The sequence below is a fragment of the Homo sapiens genome, chromosome 3 (assembly GCF_000001405.40).
Source record: "Homo sapiens chromosome 3, GRCh38.p14 Primary Assembly".
NCBI lineage: Eukaryota > Metazoa > Chordata > Mammalia > Primates > Hominidae > Homo > Homo sapiens.
The window spans coordinates 60821917-60839653 of NC_000003.12; the positions used below are offsets into that span (position 1 = coordinate 60821917).

Consider the following 17737-nt stretch of genomic DNA (forward strand, 5'->3'; position numbering starts at 1 on the left):
ACCTTTCAGAAGACTGCTACCTCTTCGGAGTCCTCAGTGGCAGGATGCACAGAGCTTTTATAGAGGGTCTAAGCAGGCAGGTATTCCTAGGATACCTACACCAAGGACAAGAAATTCAGATGATTATTTCAGCAGTGATCCAGATGGCTCTAGGTACAATTTCATTAGGAACGTTCACCATGAATACTGAGCATTGCCACACAGGTATTGTTAAAAGGGCAGAATGAAGGTACATATGTGATTTTTGCAGGCATTGTCATTAATCTGTACATTGGAGACTGTGGCTCAAAAGGGTGTAAGTGGTTCATACATGATCACACAAGAAAAGGGGCAGAACCATGCCTTAATTATTCATTTCTGATTCCTAGTCCAGGGTTGTTTCAGCCACATCATCTGATCCTCCTCAAGAACTGGAAAGTCCTGGCACTGGGGCTTTCCATTTTGCAAAAAGATGAGGCTGACCCGTGAGTCTGGTGGGAAGAGTCTTTCTCTGGTTTTCTGGTGGTCTATGCCAAGTCACCTGTCTGAAGTGTCCTGTGTGGCCAGTTTACTCACTTTCCCTTGAAACTCTGGTGTCCACAGAATCTGAAGGAATCTGACAAGCAAAGAAACATGGGTTTTTTTGGTCCCACTGGCCTGAGTTTGAATCCTAGTAATGTGTTTACTACTTCTGTATCCTATGTAGCTGCTCAACATCACTGAGGCTCACTTTCTATCTCTATCAAACGGGTATAATAATATTTGAAGGGTACATTTATGAAGAGGATTTTTTTTTTCTAAATGAGAATAAAGTACCAAGTACAGTTTCTGGCACATGTTAGATGCTAGGGCAAAGTGAAAGCCCCATGACCCACCTTACTTGCAGGGATAACCCCAAAGTGGACAAGTGACAGGGAGGCTATTGAGACCTTGCTGCTCATAAATCACTCAATGACAATGCACTAATCCCCTAACTGGCTGGTTCCTCACTGCTCTGACCTCTACCTCTGGGTTTCCTTCATGTACACTTCTTTGAAATAAAAATATCATAAACACCAATTCATTCCCTAGGATCTCATTTAGAGGTAATCGTTTCCTTTTTTAATCTAATAATCTTGGTCTACATCATGTTACATGGTCAGCTCAATGTAGTAATTGAAAGCAGATGATCATTCATTTAACAAGTATTTATTGAGACTCTACTAAGGTGTCAGGCACTATTCTCTATAGCAGTGAACATAATAGTCCAAGATCAGGCCATCATGCTGCCTACCTTCTGGTAGAGGAGACAAACAAACAAAATACATATGTAAAATACATGAGTGGTTAAATAGTTCTAAGGACTCTGGAGAAACACAAAGTAGGAAGGGAGATGGTGAGTACTATGGGTTGAATTCTGTTCCCCCAACCCCTCCCCATCAGGAAAAAAGATATGTTGAAGTCCTAACCCTCAGTACTTAGAATGTGACCTTATTTGGTAATAGGATTGATACAGATATAATTATTTAAGTTAAGATGAAGTCATACTGGAGATCGGTGGGCAGGCCTCTCATCCAATATGATTGGATATAAGAGGATGACCACGTGAAGACACAGAGACACACGGGAGAAGGAACGCCATGTGAGAATAAAGGCAGAGATTGGAGTTATGTAGCTGCAAGCCAAGGATTGCCAGCAAATCACTAGAAGTTAGGAAAAGGCAAAGAAAGATTCCCCTGCAGATTTTAGAGGGAGCATGGCCCTGGTGACACTTTGATTTCAGACTTGTAGCCTCCAGAACTATGAGACAATAAATTTCGGTTGTTTTAAGCCACTCAGTATATGGTACTTAGTTACTGCCACCCTAGGAAATCAATACAGTGTGTTTGGGGAGATTGTTGCATTTTTGAGCAAGGAGATCAGGAAAGATCTCACTGAAAAGGTAATGTCTCAGGGAAGATTTGAGGTGCAGGGGACAACCATGATGATGGCTCTGGATGAAGAAATTCTAGGCAGAGGGAACAGAAAGTACAAACCTCCCAGGCAGGTGCATGTTTGTATGTTAGAACAGCAGGGAGGCCAGTATGGCTGGAATAGCCAGGGGAGAGTGGCAGGAAACCAGGTCAGAGTGATGACAAGGAGCTGGAGGGTGCTAGACCTTATGGGCCACTCTAAGAACTTAGGCTTTTACTTGGAGCAAGGTGGGAAGCCATTGCCTACTTCTGAGCAGAGGTGAACCAAGATCTGACTTACATTTTAATAAGCTCTCTCTGGCTATTCGGTAAGAATAAACTGAAGAACAAGGCCACTTAGGAGGCTCCTGCAGTTATCCTGGTGAATAAAGGTGCTAGCCAGGTAGCACACAGGAGAGTGAAAACTGGTCAGTCCTATGCGAAATATTTTGAAAGCAGATCCAAAAGGATTTGCAATAGATTGCAGGTAGAGATACGCCTGACTTCTTGATAGTACATAGAATTAAATTAGAAACCGTAACAACTTAACTGTACTGATCATCTGAATAAATTATCTTCTCAAATGCCAGACCAGCCAAAGATATTAGCAACAGGTTTAACAGACAGGGAATAAGTAACCAGAATATATAAGGAACTCCTAAAATCAACAAAAAGAAAAAGGTAAACAAATAAATATTTTTTAAAATCATGATTCAAAGAAGGAACAATGGACCATGGACATAAGAAAAGCAGCTCAACCTCACTGATATGGTTTGGCTGTGTCCCCACCCAAGTCTCACCTTGAATTGTAACTCCCACAATTCCCATGTGTCATGGGAGGAACCTGGTGGGAGGTAATTGAATCATGGGGGTGGGTCTCTCCCATGCTGTTCTCATGAGAGTGAATAAGTCTCGAGAGATCTGATGGTTTAAAACATGGGAGTCTCTCTGCACAAGCTCTCTATTTGTCTGCTGCCATCCCTGTAAGATGTGACTTGCTCCTCCTTGCCTTCCACCATGATTGTGAGGCCACCCCAGCTACACGGAACTGTAAGTCCATTAAACTTCTTTCTGTTGTAAATTGCCCAATCTCCAGTATGTCTTTATCAGCAGCATGAAAACTGACTAATACTCTCACTAAACATGAGGAAAATGCAAATGAAAATAATGGGATTCTACTTTATTTCTATCAGACTAGTTAACATGAAAAAGACTGACACAATTCAGTGTTGTCCAAGATATGAGAAAAAATAGCATATTATTCTAGTTTACTTCCAGCGGAATCATGAATTGGTATATTATTCTATTGAGCAATTTTACTGTATTATCAAAAGTGACAGTACACATATGCCACGGCATAGTAACTCTTCTTGGGGGGTATACCAGGGCTAAGAAACATACACATAAGGGGACATATATTAAATCAGTATAACAAAACTTGGAAATGACCTAAAAGTCACCCTTAAAGGCAAATCAGTAAATAAAATATGCTATATTTATATGATTAAAGGACATATGGCTGTTAAAAAGAATAGATTGGTTTTATAGGCATCAGTGTGGATGTTTCATAAATGTCATGGGCAGAAAAGCAACACAAAGGAAAATGTTAACATACAAACACAATAGTATGTATTCATTATAGGTCGGGGTCCCCAACCGCCAGGCGGCAGACCAGTACCAGTCTGTGGCCTGTTAGGGACCAGGCCACACAGCAGGAGGTGAGTGGTGGGCAAGCGAGCATTACCGCCTGAGCTCCACCTCCTGTCAGATCAGCAGGGACATTAGGTTCTCATAGGAGCAGGAACCCTAGTGTGAACTGTGCATGCGAGGGATCTAGGCTGCCTGCTCCTTATGATGAGACCCTAACGCCTGATGATCTGAGGTGGAACAGTTTCATCCCAAAACCATACCCCCCACCTCCCCATCCATGGAAAAATTATCTTCCACAAAACCAGTCCCTGGTGCCAAAAAGTTGGGGACTGCTGCTGTGGATACACATATATGTATGTAAAAGTATAAACAACGGACTAGTCAAATACATCCCAAATTTATGGTAGGGAATTTTAGGCAGGGGTACAGGCAGCAAAGAAAGTGGAGGGTGGAGGGAAGGACAGGACATTATTGGTGAAAATGATTTGGTTTTATCAATAACTTCTTTAAAAAGGAAAAAAACAACACTGGAAGCAAATCTGACCAAACAAAAACGGATACTCGTTTTGGGATAGTGAGAGTACAGATGATCATTACACTAGTTTTTGTGCTCATCTGTGCTTTTTTGTTTTCTGCGAGTAAAGAAAGGAGGAAAGGGAGGGAGGGATGAATGGATGGAAGGAAGGAAGGAAGGAAGGAAGGAAGGAAGGAAGGAAGGAAGGAAGGAAGGAAGGAAAGAAGGAAGGAAGGGAGTTACCAGTTCTGGACTGCACTTAAGCTAATCGCTAATCATAGATGGGGATAGATGAGGTTAGTTTTTTTGTTTTGTTTTGTTTTGTTTTGTTTTGTTTTGTTTTGTTTTGTTTTGAGATGGACTTTCACACTTGTTGCCCAGGCTGAAGTGCAATGGCACAATCTCGGCTCACTGCAATCTCTGCCTCCCAGGTTCAAGCGATTCTCCTGCCTCAGCCTCCCAAGTAGCTGGGATTATAGGCACGCACCACTACGCCTGGCTAATTTTGTATTTTTAGTAGAGACGGGGTTTCTCCATGTTGGTCAGGCTGGTCGAGGTTAGTTTTTTAAGGATGAAACTCAAAACTATGTTTTAATAATCAGCGTGACCATTGGTGATTCCTAGCAGACTGTCTCAGCGTGGAGGGCTGAATTTCAGTTCAGCCCGCAGAGGGAACCATCTGTCATTTGGAATGACAAGGAGCTCTCTGCCAGGGGAACACCAGAACACCGGAAGCAGCCATGGTCTTCACTGCATCCCCACTGGCCCTGGAACCACCAACACTACAGGACACAGGAACACACATTTACAGACAAAGTAAACCAAGGGTACACCATGGACATCTTTTCAACCTTTTTAAAAGCACATTGCAATTTTCTAGAATCAAGGGAACAATATGCTTGATTAGTTCTTCAGCAGATTTCGCAATTTTGCTTGTCATATTTCTCTCTTTAAAGCAAGTTGGTCATTAACCTTCCATGTTCTAGGACTTGAGATTAGGTTTTCCCCCCACAAAAAGAAAACTTTGCTTAAAAAAAAAAGAGTTTGCTTTAGGATAATTCATTTTTGCTGCTAATAACTGCAAGATCCTCTTTGAGCCAAGGAGGTCATTCTTGAAAGGGGCTAGAATTGTGAAGAATGTTCCTTCTCTTCCTGGAGAGAGAGTCTGTGAAGGCAAAAAAGTTTGCAGGAAAGTTCAGTAATCATGAAGTGAAAGCCCAAAGTGACCTGAATACTTCCTCCTGGGTCAATATTGTATGTTTAAAAAGAAACAACCAAACCTTCAAAGAAAAATCTGGCCATCCCCAAATCCCAATACATGAAACTAGAAGGCAGGAGGCACCAGTAGAATGCTGGCTTTGCTCTCATTGCTTGGCCTCCATCACAGTTACAATAGTTGCATATCATCCTTTTGTACGTGTCATCCTAAAAATGGGATTTGGATTGGTTTCTAACAATAAAACGAGCAAGGTAGAAAAGGAATATTATGAATAAGTTACCAATGTAAATATGCTATTTTGCGCCTTTGAATTTGAGTGTTGATAAACATGATTCCACACATGGAAATTAGACTTTTCAGAGCTACTACACTGAATCATTTAATTTGTCTGAGTAAGTACTTATAATAATGTGGCTGCTCTGCACTGCAATAAACATCGGGTTTTCAAATGAACAAATGAAGTATGTGATACTCCTTATAAATGGAACTGCAGCAAAGGGCGTTCAGCTAGGGAGCTGTGCACTAAAATGGGATGGGTGATAAGAACATCTCTCTCCAGCTCCACTGATAGTGAAAGGAAAGAATCATATGGCCTCTGCTGCTACATTTTCTGTTCCTGGACAGAAGCAAGGCTGAAGCCTCACTGTGAAATGATGGGGGACTGTTGCTATTTTGGGTTGTCACAGGGTAACTTGTCACACTACTCAGGACACATGAGGACAGATAATTCTGTTCCTCCAGATTGTGGACTTGAGAATGCTTTAGTAAAATAGCACAGGGATATATTTTGGATAGTGGTTAAGGACATGGGTTTGAATCCTGGGCTCTACCAACCAAATAGGTGCATGATTGTACCCAAGTAATCATCAGTCTTCTCCATGCTCATTTTCCTATTTGGTAAAATAAGGATAATAACTTTGGCTTCCTCATTAAGTTATTAGGGGGATTCAGTGAGATAATTTATGTAAAGAACCTGGCACATGATTAGAATTCACCTTTTTTAACATTATCATTTTAACATTATCATCACATTTTTAACATTATCATTCACCTTTTTTAACATTAACATAACCATTTTAACATTATCATTATATATGTCATCATTATTATTATATTTAACCTTACTTTCATTTTAATCCATTATTCAATTTTCCTTCAACGCTCATTAAAAGCACAACTCACTACATTGTTTAGTAATTAATTACTTTTGTTCATTTAACAAAGTATTTATACTTTGTTATATGTGCCAGGCACATATGCTAGGGGCTAGGGTACATAGGTGATCTAATCCTCCTGGAAGCTATTAGAGGAGATGGGCATGAGTCAAAGGCTCCCATAGGAAGTGAAACCTTTGAAACTCAGGGAACAGGTCTAAAAGAAAGGAGCAGGCTAGGCATGGTGGCTCATGCCTGTAATCCCAGCACGTTGGGAGGTGAGGTGAGTTGATCACCTGAGGTCAGGAGTTTGAGACCAGCCTGACCAACATGGCAAAAACCCATCTCTACTAAAAATACAAAAATTAGCCAGGCATGGTGGCGGGTGCCTGTAATCCCAGCCACTTGGGAGACTGAGGCAGGAGATTCAGTTCAACCCGGGAGGCAGAGGTTGCAGTGAGCCGAGATGGTGCCACTGAACTCCAGCCTGGGCAACAAAAGTGAAATGCTGTCTCAAAACAAACAAATAAACAAACAAAAACAAAGGAGCAGATCACTCTAAGAGATACTAAAACAAAGGAACTTAAATTAAACCTGAGACCTGAAGGATGAGAAGGAGAACAAGGGATGGAATGATGGCTTTCTTGAGAGAAACACAACAATATTCAAAGGCATGGAGTATACAGCACTTTATCATTGTTATCAAAAGTCATTGCAAAATGATCTACTGAATAGCTCAATTAAATCTAACAACTATGTGACAAGCACCTACTATGAGCCAAGCGCAGTGCCAAACTCTAGAAACACCATAGTAAAGACAGATATGATCCATGCCTGCATCCTTACCTCCCAACACCTACTACTATGTTTGAAAACCACACCAAAGTCAATATTTACTTTGTAACCAATAAATTACCCCTCTGGGTTTGATCACAGAGAGATTTCACCTGCATGGAAAAACTGGAATGCTTTCTCTGGTCAGACAAGGAATGTTACATATGCCAAATAATTCCCTTTCTTCTTAGTTGCTGGATATCTACAACCAAATTTAGTTTATTCCATGGGCCTACCAACTTATACTACTAAAGATGGCCATGTTTCTCTTTCATGATTAATTGTTCTATTATTTGTAGACTACCTTTAATTTAGTAAACAGCCTCAGCCTCAAATTATTTGGAAAGTTATTAGAAGAGGAGAAAAAAGTAAAAGAAAACAAGGAAAAGAGATCTCAAGTTTCTTGAGATCTGGGAATTGTCCAATGTGCTTTCTGTAGTATTCGTGGTACCTAACATGGTGCTGGATGGAAAGCATTTAATAACTTCTGATTGTCAGATGGATGAAGAATATAAAGCTTTCCTGGTTCAACTTGGGCTCCATTAGAAGGAGGGAAGAACTGAAACTCGGTAGATCAGAATATGCCTCCCCACAACATCCTTCTTTAGCATAAGGATTATTTTGAGCTGATTATTTTGAGAGACTGCAGCTACAGGAGAAGATCTGAAAACAGAAGAGAAGTTACCTTTTTGTAAAAGGATTTTACATCTATAAAGGAAATTTCTACTCATAAGGGTGTCTCCCTTTCTGTACCAGGAAGAGAAGGATGACCAAATCACTAGAGACTCTTACCAATGGAGAAGACACCAACTTAAATCTGCATAACAAACCTTACTCATGTTTACCATACTTTTCCTGGGCATCCCTCCACAACTGACTATCCCCCATACCCTTCTTTTTTTTCTTTCAGTGGACAATGGTATTTGAGCCTGATCTCAAAGCCACCTCTTTGAGATTTATTCATATCTCTGGGTATCTTCCACGTGTACATGAGATACACATATTTTTAACTTCTGTTTGTTTTTCTCTTGTTTCTGGGTCTATCCCAACCTAAGGACCATAAAGGGTAAAGAGAAAATTATTTTTCCTTCCCTACACTTACTTTTCTGTAGTCTCCAGGTTCAGAGGAAAGAACTCAAAAAAGTGGCTGAAAAGTTTAGCATGATTTTCATTGTAAAGCAGCCCAATAACCAAACAGAAGCACCACATAAACCAAAAGAAGAGAGTGGTAAGTGAAATATAAGGTACCATTAGAGATTTCTCTCAGGGAATAAGATTCTTGTAACAAAATATTTACCTTTCTTATTCTGGTGCTAGTAAAAATAAGAGAAATGTCACAATTTTAATTAATGTCTAAGCAACAGGGAAAAATATTAAGCTACTTTATGACAAAATGGAAATATATTTGTAATTCTATATCCTAATGTTCTCTCAGTTATTTTGGAAAAACTATTAGTCCTTTGGTCTCTTCTACATTAGGAGAGCAAAAAGCTATAATATGGCCTATCTGGCTAACTATCGGGAATCGGAGAAATCAATTTAAAAGAAATTTGGAAGACACCTACATTATCGATATTAGAGCAAAGTAGAGATCTGCCTTGTTCACAGCAAAGCAATCCAATTCACACACACACACACAAAACAAATGTTGCATTTATGGAAGTATTAAAACATCTCATCCTTGTCCTTAGCTTAACATATTAATGAGAATTTCTGAATTAATCTCCAATCGTGAACTGTGTCTAGGTGTGATATAAGGGCAGTAAATACTGTGCAGCTTGCTTCAGGCATGTTTTATGACAGATTCTCTGACAGATAGAAAATCTTTAAGATTAAATTATTTCTGTATTTTCCTAAGAAACTCATCAGTACTAACAACCATACCACTTCCCCAACTAGTTGATAAACAGAAAAGAAAATATTATTAAGTGATGGCACTTGAGGAAATAGTTAAAAGGAGAAACTCAGAACATAAGATTGTGATTATATATAATGAGGAGATTCTCAAAATGGCACAGAAAGGAAAGGAACGAGTTGAAGCTGAAAAACATATGTTTTTAGGAGGTAAGTTATTCCATAAAGCAATTACTAAAATGTGAGAGTTCTTCTCATGGTTCTCAACCTTATACTCTGAAAGAGAACTTCTTATAATGCAAGACTAAGAGAGCCAATTACTTCAGCACCAAGGTACATCCTAAATCTCTGGACTTGGCAGTTCAAAAAAACTCTTGGAAAATGTTCTTCTAAAATCTTCACTAACAGCCCTGACTTTAGAAATGTAGACTCTAAAAGGATGAATAAAAACTAACCAATTAGATAGCAAAATGGAGAAGAGAGAGCACTGAATAAAAAGACCTGCCAGAGTTCGGGTTGTACCTCTGCCACCAGCTTCAGACTTAGTTCATATTTACAATAAAACCATAATCATAAAAATTAATAATTATGGAACACTTAGTATGCCAATAACTTTTCATATATTATCTAATTTAATCATCCTAACAACCTATGAGGGAGACACCACATAAGAGAAAAGCAGTTGAAGAGTTTGTCCAAGACCACCCAGCTGCTCTGAGTGATGGGTTAGGATTCAAACACGATTTTTTTGGACCCCAGAGCCCAACCCTTAACCACTCACTCTGCAGAATAGTTCAGAAACCTCCTAGGATGATCTAAAAGGCTTCTTTCAGCAATAGGGCGCTAAGATTTATGAGACATGATTGTATAATGGAAAAAAATCTCAGGTTTTTGAAGTGACTTTGTAGCCCAGTTGAGCAGCTTCTTCTCTAAGCCTCAGAATCTTAGATAACAACACTACTTACCTTACAAGCTGGCCTAAGGATCAGAGATAATACTAGAGCCCTTAGCCCCAAGTAATAATAATAATAATAGGCAGCATTTATATAATGCTCATTATGTGCTGGGCACCATCTAAACATTTTTTTCCCCACATTAAAGTATGCAATCTTCACAATGACCTTAAAAGTACTATTATTTTGTACTTTTTATCTAATTGTATAAGAATACAATTAGATAAAAAGAAAAAAAAAGAGTTCTATTGTTTTGATTCCTGTTTTACCAATGAGGAAACAGAGGCAAAGAGAGTTAAATTACTTGACCTAAATCACAGTTACTAAGTTGCAGATCTTGGATTCTGATCCAGACAGAATGACTCACTGGACAACCCAAAACATATTGGAGGCACTCCTACTGATACATAAAGAACCTCCTTGCCATGCCCAATGTCTGTGTCACTCTCACCCAAAGTAACAAATTTAACATAAACTTGGGAGGATGAAATACATAGGGATGCCCAGATAACCTGCCTACTGTCATTCCGCAGATTGTGCCTTTAAAAAAACCAATTTCAATAGAAACCAGCAAGAAAGAGATACATCAGGTATGTCAGACATACGTGGTCACAACTATTTTTTCTCCTTCCTGGCTAATCACTCCCTTTGTGTTGATAATGTGCTGCTTTAAATCAATTCATAAAAAAAAAAAAAAGCACAGAGGCACCATAAAAGTCGTTTTTCCTGTTTTCAATCTGGAAGAAATTCAGTCTCTTATTCATTTTAAAAACTATTTTAATAATAGCTTTTACTTAACCCAATATATCAAAAATATTATTTCAACATGTTAATAAAAGTTAATAAGAGATTTTACGCTAAGCATTCAAAATTCAGAGTGTACTTTACATTTAAGGCCCATCTCAAATCAGACTAACCTGATTAGTCTGAATGCTCAGTAGCCATATATGTTGCTAGTGGCTACCATATTAGACAACACAGTTCTAGAAAGATTGGCTTAGAAAAGCCCTGGTTGTTGATATTTATAGGTCTCTTTCCTTGGGCTGGTCAAATTCCCCAGAAAGATATCTTTCAATCTCCTGCCTTAGGGGTATAAGCCTGGGTGCCATTGTTCTGAGATTTAAGTATGGGAAAGAGCAGAAGCCCCATCATATTGTCTTTCACTTAAGCCCCGATTTTCATCATTATACCCATCCTCAGCTATGCATGGTGACTCCAATCACGAGCCCTGTAGTTGGTCCAACCCCTCCAGTCTTCCTCCTGGGGAAGTAGGGAGGGAGGCAGTTGGGAGAGGCAGTTCCCAGGCTATGCGGATTGGGCAAGAACTCTGGGGACTGATTAGCAGTTATTTGTCATTCTTTCAATGTTCTTTTAATATTCCTTCATTCCCACTTTCATACATTTACAGTGCCATGAATTCCTGACACGTTCTAGAATCTCAGTTTAGATTTTACCGTTTCTCTCCCCTTTTAAATCAGTCCCTGGCCTTTTAAGGCAGCTTCTACAATTGTATTCTGTGACCTTCTCCTCTATGATTTTTGTTCATATTCCCCTCCCCTTTTTTAACTAACATTTTTTATTTGAAATAATTGTAGACTCACATGAAGGTTGTAAGAAAAAATACAGAGAAGGTCCATATGCCCTTTATCCAATTCCCTTCAATGGTAACATCTTGGAAAGCTATTACACAGTAACACAACCAAGATATTGACAATGACACATTCAAAACACAGAATGTGTCCATCCCAGGGATCCTCTTGTTGCTCTTTAATAGCCACACCCACTTCCCTCCCACTCCACCCCTTCTTAACTTTTAACCACAAATCTGTACTCCATTTATATAATTTTTTCATTTGAAAAATGTTATACAAGTGGAGTCGTACAGTGTGTAATCTTTTGGTTTTGTGTTTTTTTCCCCTTTAATCTATTCCCTGAAGATTCAGTCAAGTAGTTTCATGTATTAATAATTCATTGCTGAGTAGTATTCGATGGTATGGATGGACCACAGTTTGCTTAACCATTCACCCAATAAAGGACATCTGAGTTGTGTCCAGTTTGGGGCTATTACAGATAAAGCTCTATGAAAATTCATGTATGGGCTTTGGTGTGAACATAAGCTTTTGTTTACTTGGGATAAATGCCCAGGAGTATGATAAGTGCATGTTTAATTTTGTAAGAAACTGCCAAACCATTTTCTAGAGTGGCTATAACATTTTACATTCTCACCAGTAACACAATTTCTCTGCATCCTCACCAGAATTTGTTGTTATCATTATCTTTTATTTTAGTTATTTCAATATGTTCATAGTGATAACTCATTGTGGTTTTGATTTGCATTTCCCTGATGGTTAATAATGTTGAACATCTTTTCATGTGCTTATTTGCCATCTGTATAACCTCTTCAGTAAAATGTCTGGCCATGTATTTTCTAATTGAGTTGCTTGGATTTTTTTACTGTTGAGTTTGAAAATTCTTTATATATTCTAAATACTAGTCCTTTGTCAGATATGTAGTTTGCAAATATTTTCTTCCAGCCTGTAGTTATTCTTTTCATTCTCTTAAAAGGGTCTTAGGCCGGGCGTGGTGGCTCACACCTGTAATACCAGCATTTGGGAGGCCGAGGAGGGTGGATCTTTTGAGGTCAGGAGTTTGAGACCTGGCCAACACGGCAAAAGCCAGTCTCAACTAAAAAGAAAAAAAAAATACAAAACTTAGCCAGCCACAGTGGCATGCACCTGTAGTCCCAGCTATTCCAGAGCCTCAGGCAGGAGAATTGCTTGAACCTGGGAGGCAGAAGTTGCAGTGAGCCGAGATCGTGCCACTGCCCTCCAGCTTGGGGAACTGAGTGAGACACTGTCTCAAAAAAGAAAAGAAAAGAAAAAAAAAAAAAAAAACTCTTTCACGGTGCAAAAGCAAAAGTTTTAATTCTGATATAGTCCAATATATCACCAATATATCATTTGTTTCCTGTTATGGATTGTGTTTATGTGAAATCTAAGAACTCTTTCCCTAGCCAGAGATTCCAAAGATTTTTCTCTAATGCCTTCTCCTTCTAAAAGAAGGGTTCTTTATTCTGTTCCGTTGATCTATGTTTCTGTCACTCCATGGATAGCCACATAGTAACTATGCAATACTTCTTGAAACTGGGTAGACTGATTGCTCCCACTTTATTATTTCTTTTTCAAAATTGTTTTAGCTACTCTAGTTCCTTTGTTTCTGTATAAATTTTAGAATAATGTCATCTATATATGAAAAAATCATACTGAGATTTTTGATAGGAACTGCTTTAAACCTGTATATCAATTTGGGAAGTATCGGTATCTTTACTACGCTGTGACTTTCAAATCATGAACACAACATTTTTCTCCATTTATTTACATTTTTAAAATTTATTTCATCAACATTATATAGTTTTCAACAAACAAGTTTTATAAATGTTTTATTGGATTCACATAAGTATTTCATATTTTTGAGCTAAGGCAAATTGTACTATATTTTTAAAATTTGTGTCCACAGATTCATTGCTAGTACAAAGAAATACAATTGATAATTTAAATGTCTATCTCATATCCTGCCACCTTAATGAACTCAATTATTAGTTTTTCATTTGTTTGCTTGAGATAGGGTCTCACTCTGCCACCCAGGTTGGAGTGCAGTGGCACACAGGTATTGGCACAAACACAACCTTCTATAGCCTCAACCTCCTGAGCTCCAGCCATCCTCCTGCCTCAGCCTCCTAAGTAGCTGGGATGACAGGCATACACCACCAGGCCTGGTTCATTTGTTGTTGTTGAGGAGAGATGAGGTCTCTCCATATTTCCCAGGCTGGTCTTGAACTAGGCTCCAGCAATCCACCTGCCTCGGCCTCCCATCGTGTTGGGATGACAGTCATCAGTCACTACACCCAGCCACTTACTAGTTTTAAGAGTTGGTTTTGTGTTTTTTCGTCTTTGTAGATCACTTAGTGTTTTCTGTGTAGAAAATCATGACATCAGCAAATATTAACAGTTTTCTTTCTTTCCATCTGTATGCCTTTCATTTCCCTTTCTTGCCTTATTGCATTGATTAGAACTTCCTGCACTATGTTGAATAGGAGTGGTGGAACCAGCCTTGCACTGCTGGACTAGACTCCATTTCGTCGTGGTATATTATTCTTTTAGCCTGAATCCTGTTTGTTAATATTTTGTTCAGGATTGTTGTGTCTCTATTTATGACAGTTATTGGTATATATTTCTCTTTTTTGCACTGTTTTTTCTGTTTTTCATATCTGAGTAATACCAGCTTCCTAAAATGAATTGCGAAGTGTTCTCTCCTATTTTCTGGAAGAGACTGTATAAAACTCCTATTAATTATTCTTTAAATGTTTGGTAAAATTCTCCAGTGAGGCCATCTGGGCCTAAATATTTATTTTCAGGGAGTTTTTAAATGATTAATTCAATTTTTAATAGTTATGGGCTTTTAAATATTATCTATTTCATGATAGGTGAATGGTAGGAATTTGTGTTTTTGAGGAAGTGGCCCATTTCATCTAAGTTATCAAATTTATGTGTGTAGAGTTGTTCATGGCATTTCTTTATTATCCTTTTGATGTCTACAGGGTCAATAGTGATATCTCCTCTTTCATTCCTGATATTGTAACCAAATGCAGGTCCAGATGCCCACTGTTTACAGAGTCCAGTTAACAAGAGTGAGGTCTAGTAGAAAGAAAGTCATTTTACTAAAACCAGTAAAGGGGAAATGGTCAGATTCCCGCCCAAAGCAATCACTTTGATTTTGGGGGAAGGCAGGGGTTTAAAAAGGGAAAACTTGATAAGGAAGGCATGCAAGAATTGTACTAAGTATAATATCTGTGTGTCTTGTTCTGGTAGCTATCTTGGGTCTCAGTCTACCTGGATGGTGAGTCAAGACATCTGGGAATATCTTTACTTCCCCTTTATTCCTGAGGATATTTTCACGGGCTGTAGGACACTGCTTTGATTGTTGATTATTATTTCATTCAGGACTTTGAATGCTTTAAGTTCCTGAGCAGCCATGGCCAGGTTTTTAACTAGCCACTTTGAAGTAATCTCTGGAATTTTGCAGCTGGGTCTCCAAGCTTATTCCGCCTGTCTCAAGATTAGCCCCTGGAACTTCTAAGAAGGCACAGTAATTAGATACTAGTATATACTTAGACAAATGTGAAGGGAGTATATATGGTGAAAAAGGGAGGGACGTGGAGCCTATTTCTAGGCTGAGGAAAAGGCTTCTGCAGTTTTTCAAGGTTGTATCTTGAAAACCAAGAGAAGAGAAAAAAATGTTTTAAAATGCATTTGGAAGTTAAGTTGCCTAGTTACAATATTGGTAATTTGTGTCTTTTCTCTTTTCTTTGTCAGTCTTGCTAGACTGTCAGTTTTATTAACCTTTTCAAAGAACCAGCTACTCTTGTTTTCCTTTGATTAAAGTTTGCATGATACATCTTTTCCCATTATTTTACTTTCGTCTATTGTTATATTGAAAGTGAGCTTCTCATAGACAGAATATAGTTGGGTCATATTTTTTAAACAATTCTGCTAATCTCTTCCCTGTATTATAAGTGGTATATTTAGACCATTTAACTTTAATGTAATTATTGATATTTTAGAATTTACACTGCCATTTTATTTTTTGTTTATTTTCTGTTTGTTCTCTTTGTGGTTTTCTGTTTTCTTTGCCCAGACTTCTTATAAGCTATTTGAACACTTTTTGGAATTCTGTTTTGATTTATCTAAAGTGTCTTTCAGTGCATTTCTGTATATAATTTTTTAAAGGTTTCTCTAGGTATTACTTTATATATTTATAACTAAACAGTTTACTGGTGTCATCATTTTACCAGTTTGAGTAACATATAGAAACCCTATCTCCGCACTTTGCATCCCTTTATCTTCCCCATTTATAATATAATTATTTTAAATACTTCCTTTACATGCATTTACATCCACATCAGAATATTGCAATTTTTGCTTCAAACTTCAAACACAATTAGAGCTCTCAAGAGTACAAATGTTTTTGCTATGTTTTTTTCTTCCTTTCTGATGTTGAAGAGATCCATTTTTAATTGTCTTCTTTCCAATTAGATAACTCTTTTCTTTTCTTTCGAGGCAGAGTCTCACCGTGTCATCCAGGCTGGAGAGTGCAGTGATGCAATTATGCAAATTCTTTTAGTTTTCCGGCTGGGCGTGGTGGCTCACGCCTGTAATCCCAGCACTTTGGGAAGCCGAGGCAGGCGGATTGCCTGAGCTCAGGAGTTCGCGACGAACCTGGGCAACACGGTGAAACCCGTCTCTACTAAAATACAAAAAATTAGCCGGGCGTGGTGGTGGGCGCCTGTAGTCCCAGCGACTCAGGAGGCTGAGGCAGGAGAATCGCTTGAACCCGGGAGGCAGAGCTTGCAGTGAGTCGAGATCGCGCCACCGCACTCCAGCCTGGGCGACAGAGCAAGACTCCGTCTCAAAAACAAAAACAAAAACAAACAAACAAACAAACAAAAAACACAAATTCTCTTAGTTTTCCTTCATCTGATAATATTTTTACTTCCCCTTTATTCCTGAGGATATTTTCACAGGCAATAGGATACTGGCTTGACTGTTGATTGTTATCTGCATTCAGGACTTTGAAAGCTTTAAGTTCCTGAGTCTCAGCAGAAACTCAAAAATAATACATGTAGGAAGAGCTAAAAAAATATACAATAAACCGGATCCTATCGAATTTAAATGTCACCAGGCTACAAGAAACTGATTCTGGCAGAAAAAATAAACATGTGAAAAATAATTACAATAATGTGTGATAAGTGCAAAAATGCAGGTATGTACTTGTCACGATGCTGACACACAGAGAGAATCAGCACTGCTTGAGAGAATCAGTGAAAACTTCTCAGAGATGTGTGAACCAGGTTCTGAAAGTTAGGTAGTAAAAGGACTTCCTGGGTGAAGGGGAACCCAGCACGAAAGCCCTGAGAAAAGCGGAAAAGATGGTACATTTGAGAATCTGTGAGACTGAATGCCTGGCTGAGGTATAGAACACCCATTGGAACAAGCAAGAGATGCAGTAGAAAAGACAGCTAAGGGAAGGATGCTGGGCTAGAGGGCCTCATCCTCTACTAAGGAGTAAACTTTATCCTGTGTACCACGAGGAGCTACCGAACAGACGAAAATGGTGAGTGTAATATTTAAAGCAATGATTGCTACTATAACACTCTTTTTAAAGTAGCTTTTCCATGAATTATTAACATTATCTTTAGTCTAATACGTATCAAAATTTAGTTTATGGACTGGTAGGATGTGTTAATGGCCAATAAAAGTAAAAGACTCAGCCGATTCCCTGCCTTCTACACTCCATTTTACACACACTCCATCCTGCCTGCCGAATGACTTCAGTGTCTCTGTGACCAGTGAGTGAAGCAGCATGCAATGAGATCATGGCTAGATGGCAGCACATTCAGTGAAGTGCTTCAGCTTTCCTGTTGCTTCTGATTCCCTGGCATTTGTCAGTGTCTGTCAAAACATTAACATTTCTTAATGTATATTTTGCATTATTTACTAAATGAAAATTTTCCAATGACAGTGGCTGAGAAAAAAAAATCAGATTTACATACAGTATGTCAAGTTCACATTCGATGCCCCAGAAATGCCCAG

General features: G+C 38.7%; 1 protein-coding gene across 7 annotated transcripts in view; it reads right to left on the reverse strand.

Moving 5' to 3' along the window:
* FHIT (fragile histidine triad diadenosine triphosphatase) overlaps positions 1–17737 on the reverse strand; it is a 1504176-nt gene that overhangs the window by 1074640 nt on the left and 411799 nt on the right. For all 7 annotated transcript variants that reach the window (NR_148921.2, NM_001354589.2, NM_001354590.2 and 4 more), the window contains one exon: positions 3–95. The gene's annotated coding sequence lies outside the window, so the exon portion shown is untranslated. The remainder of the gene's footprint in view (positions 1–2; positions 96–17737) is intronic.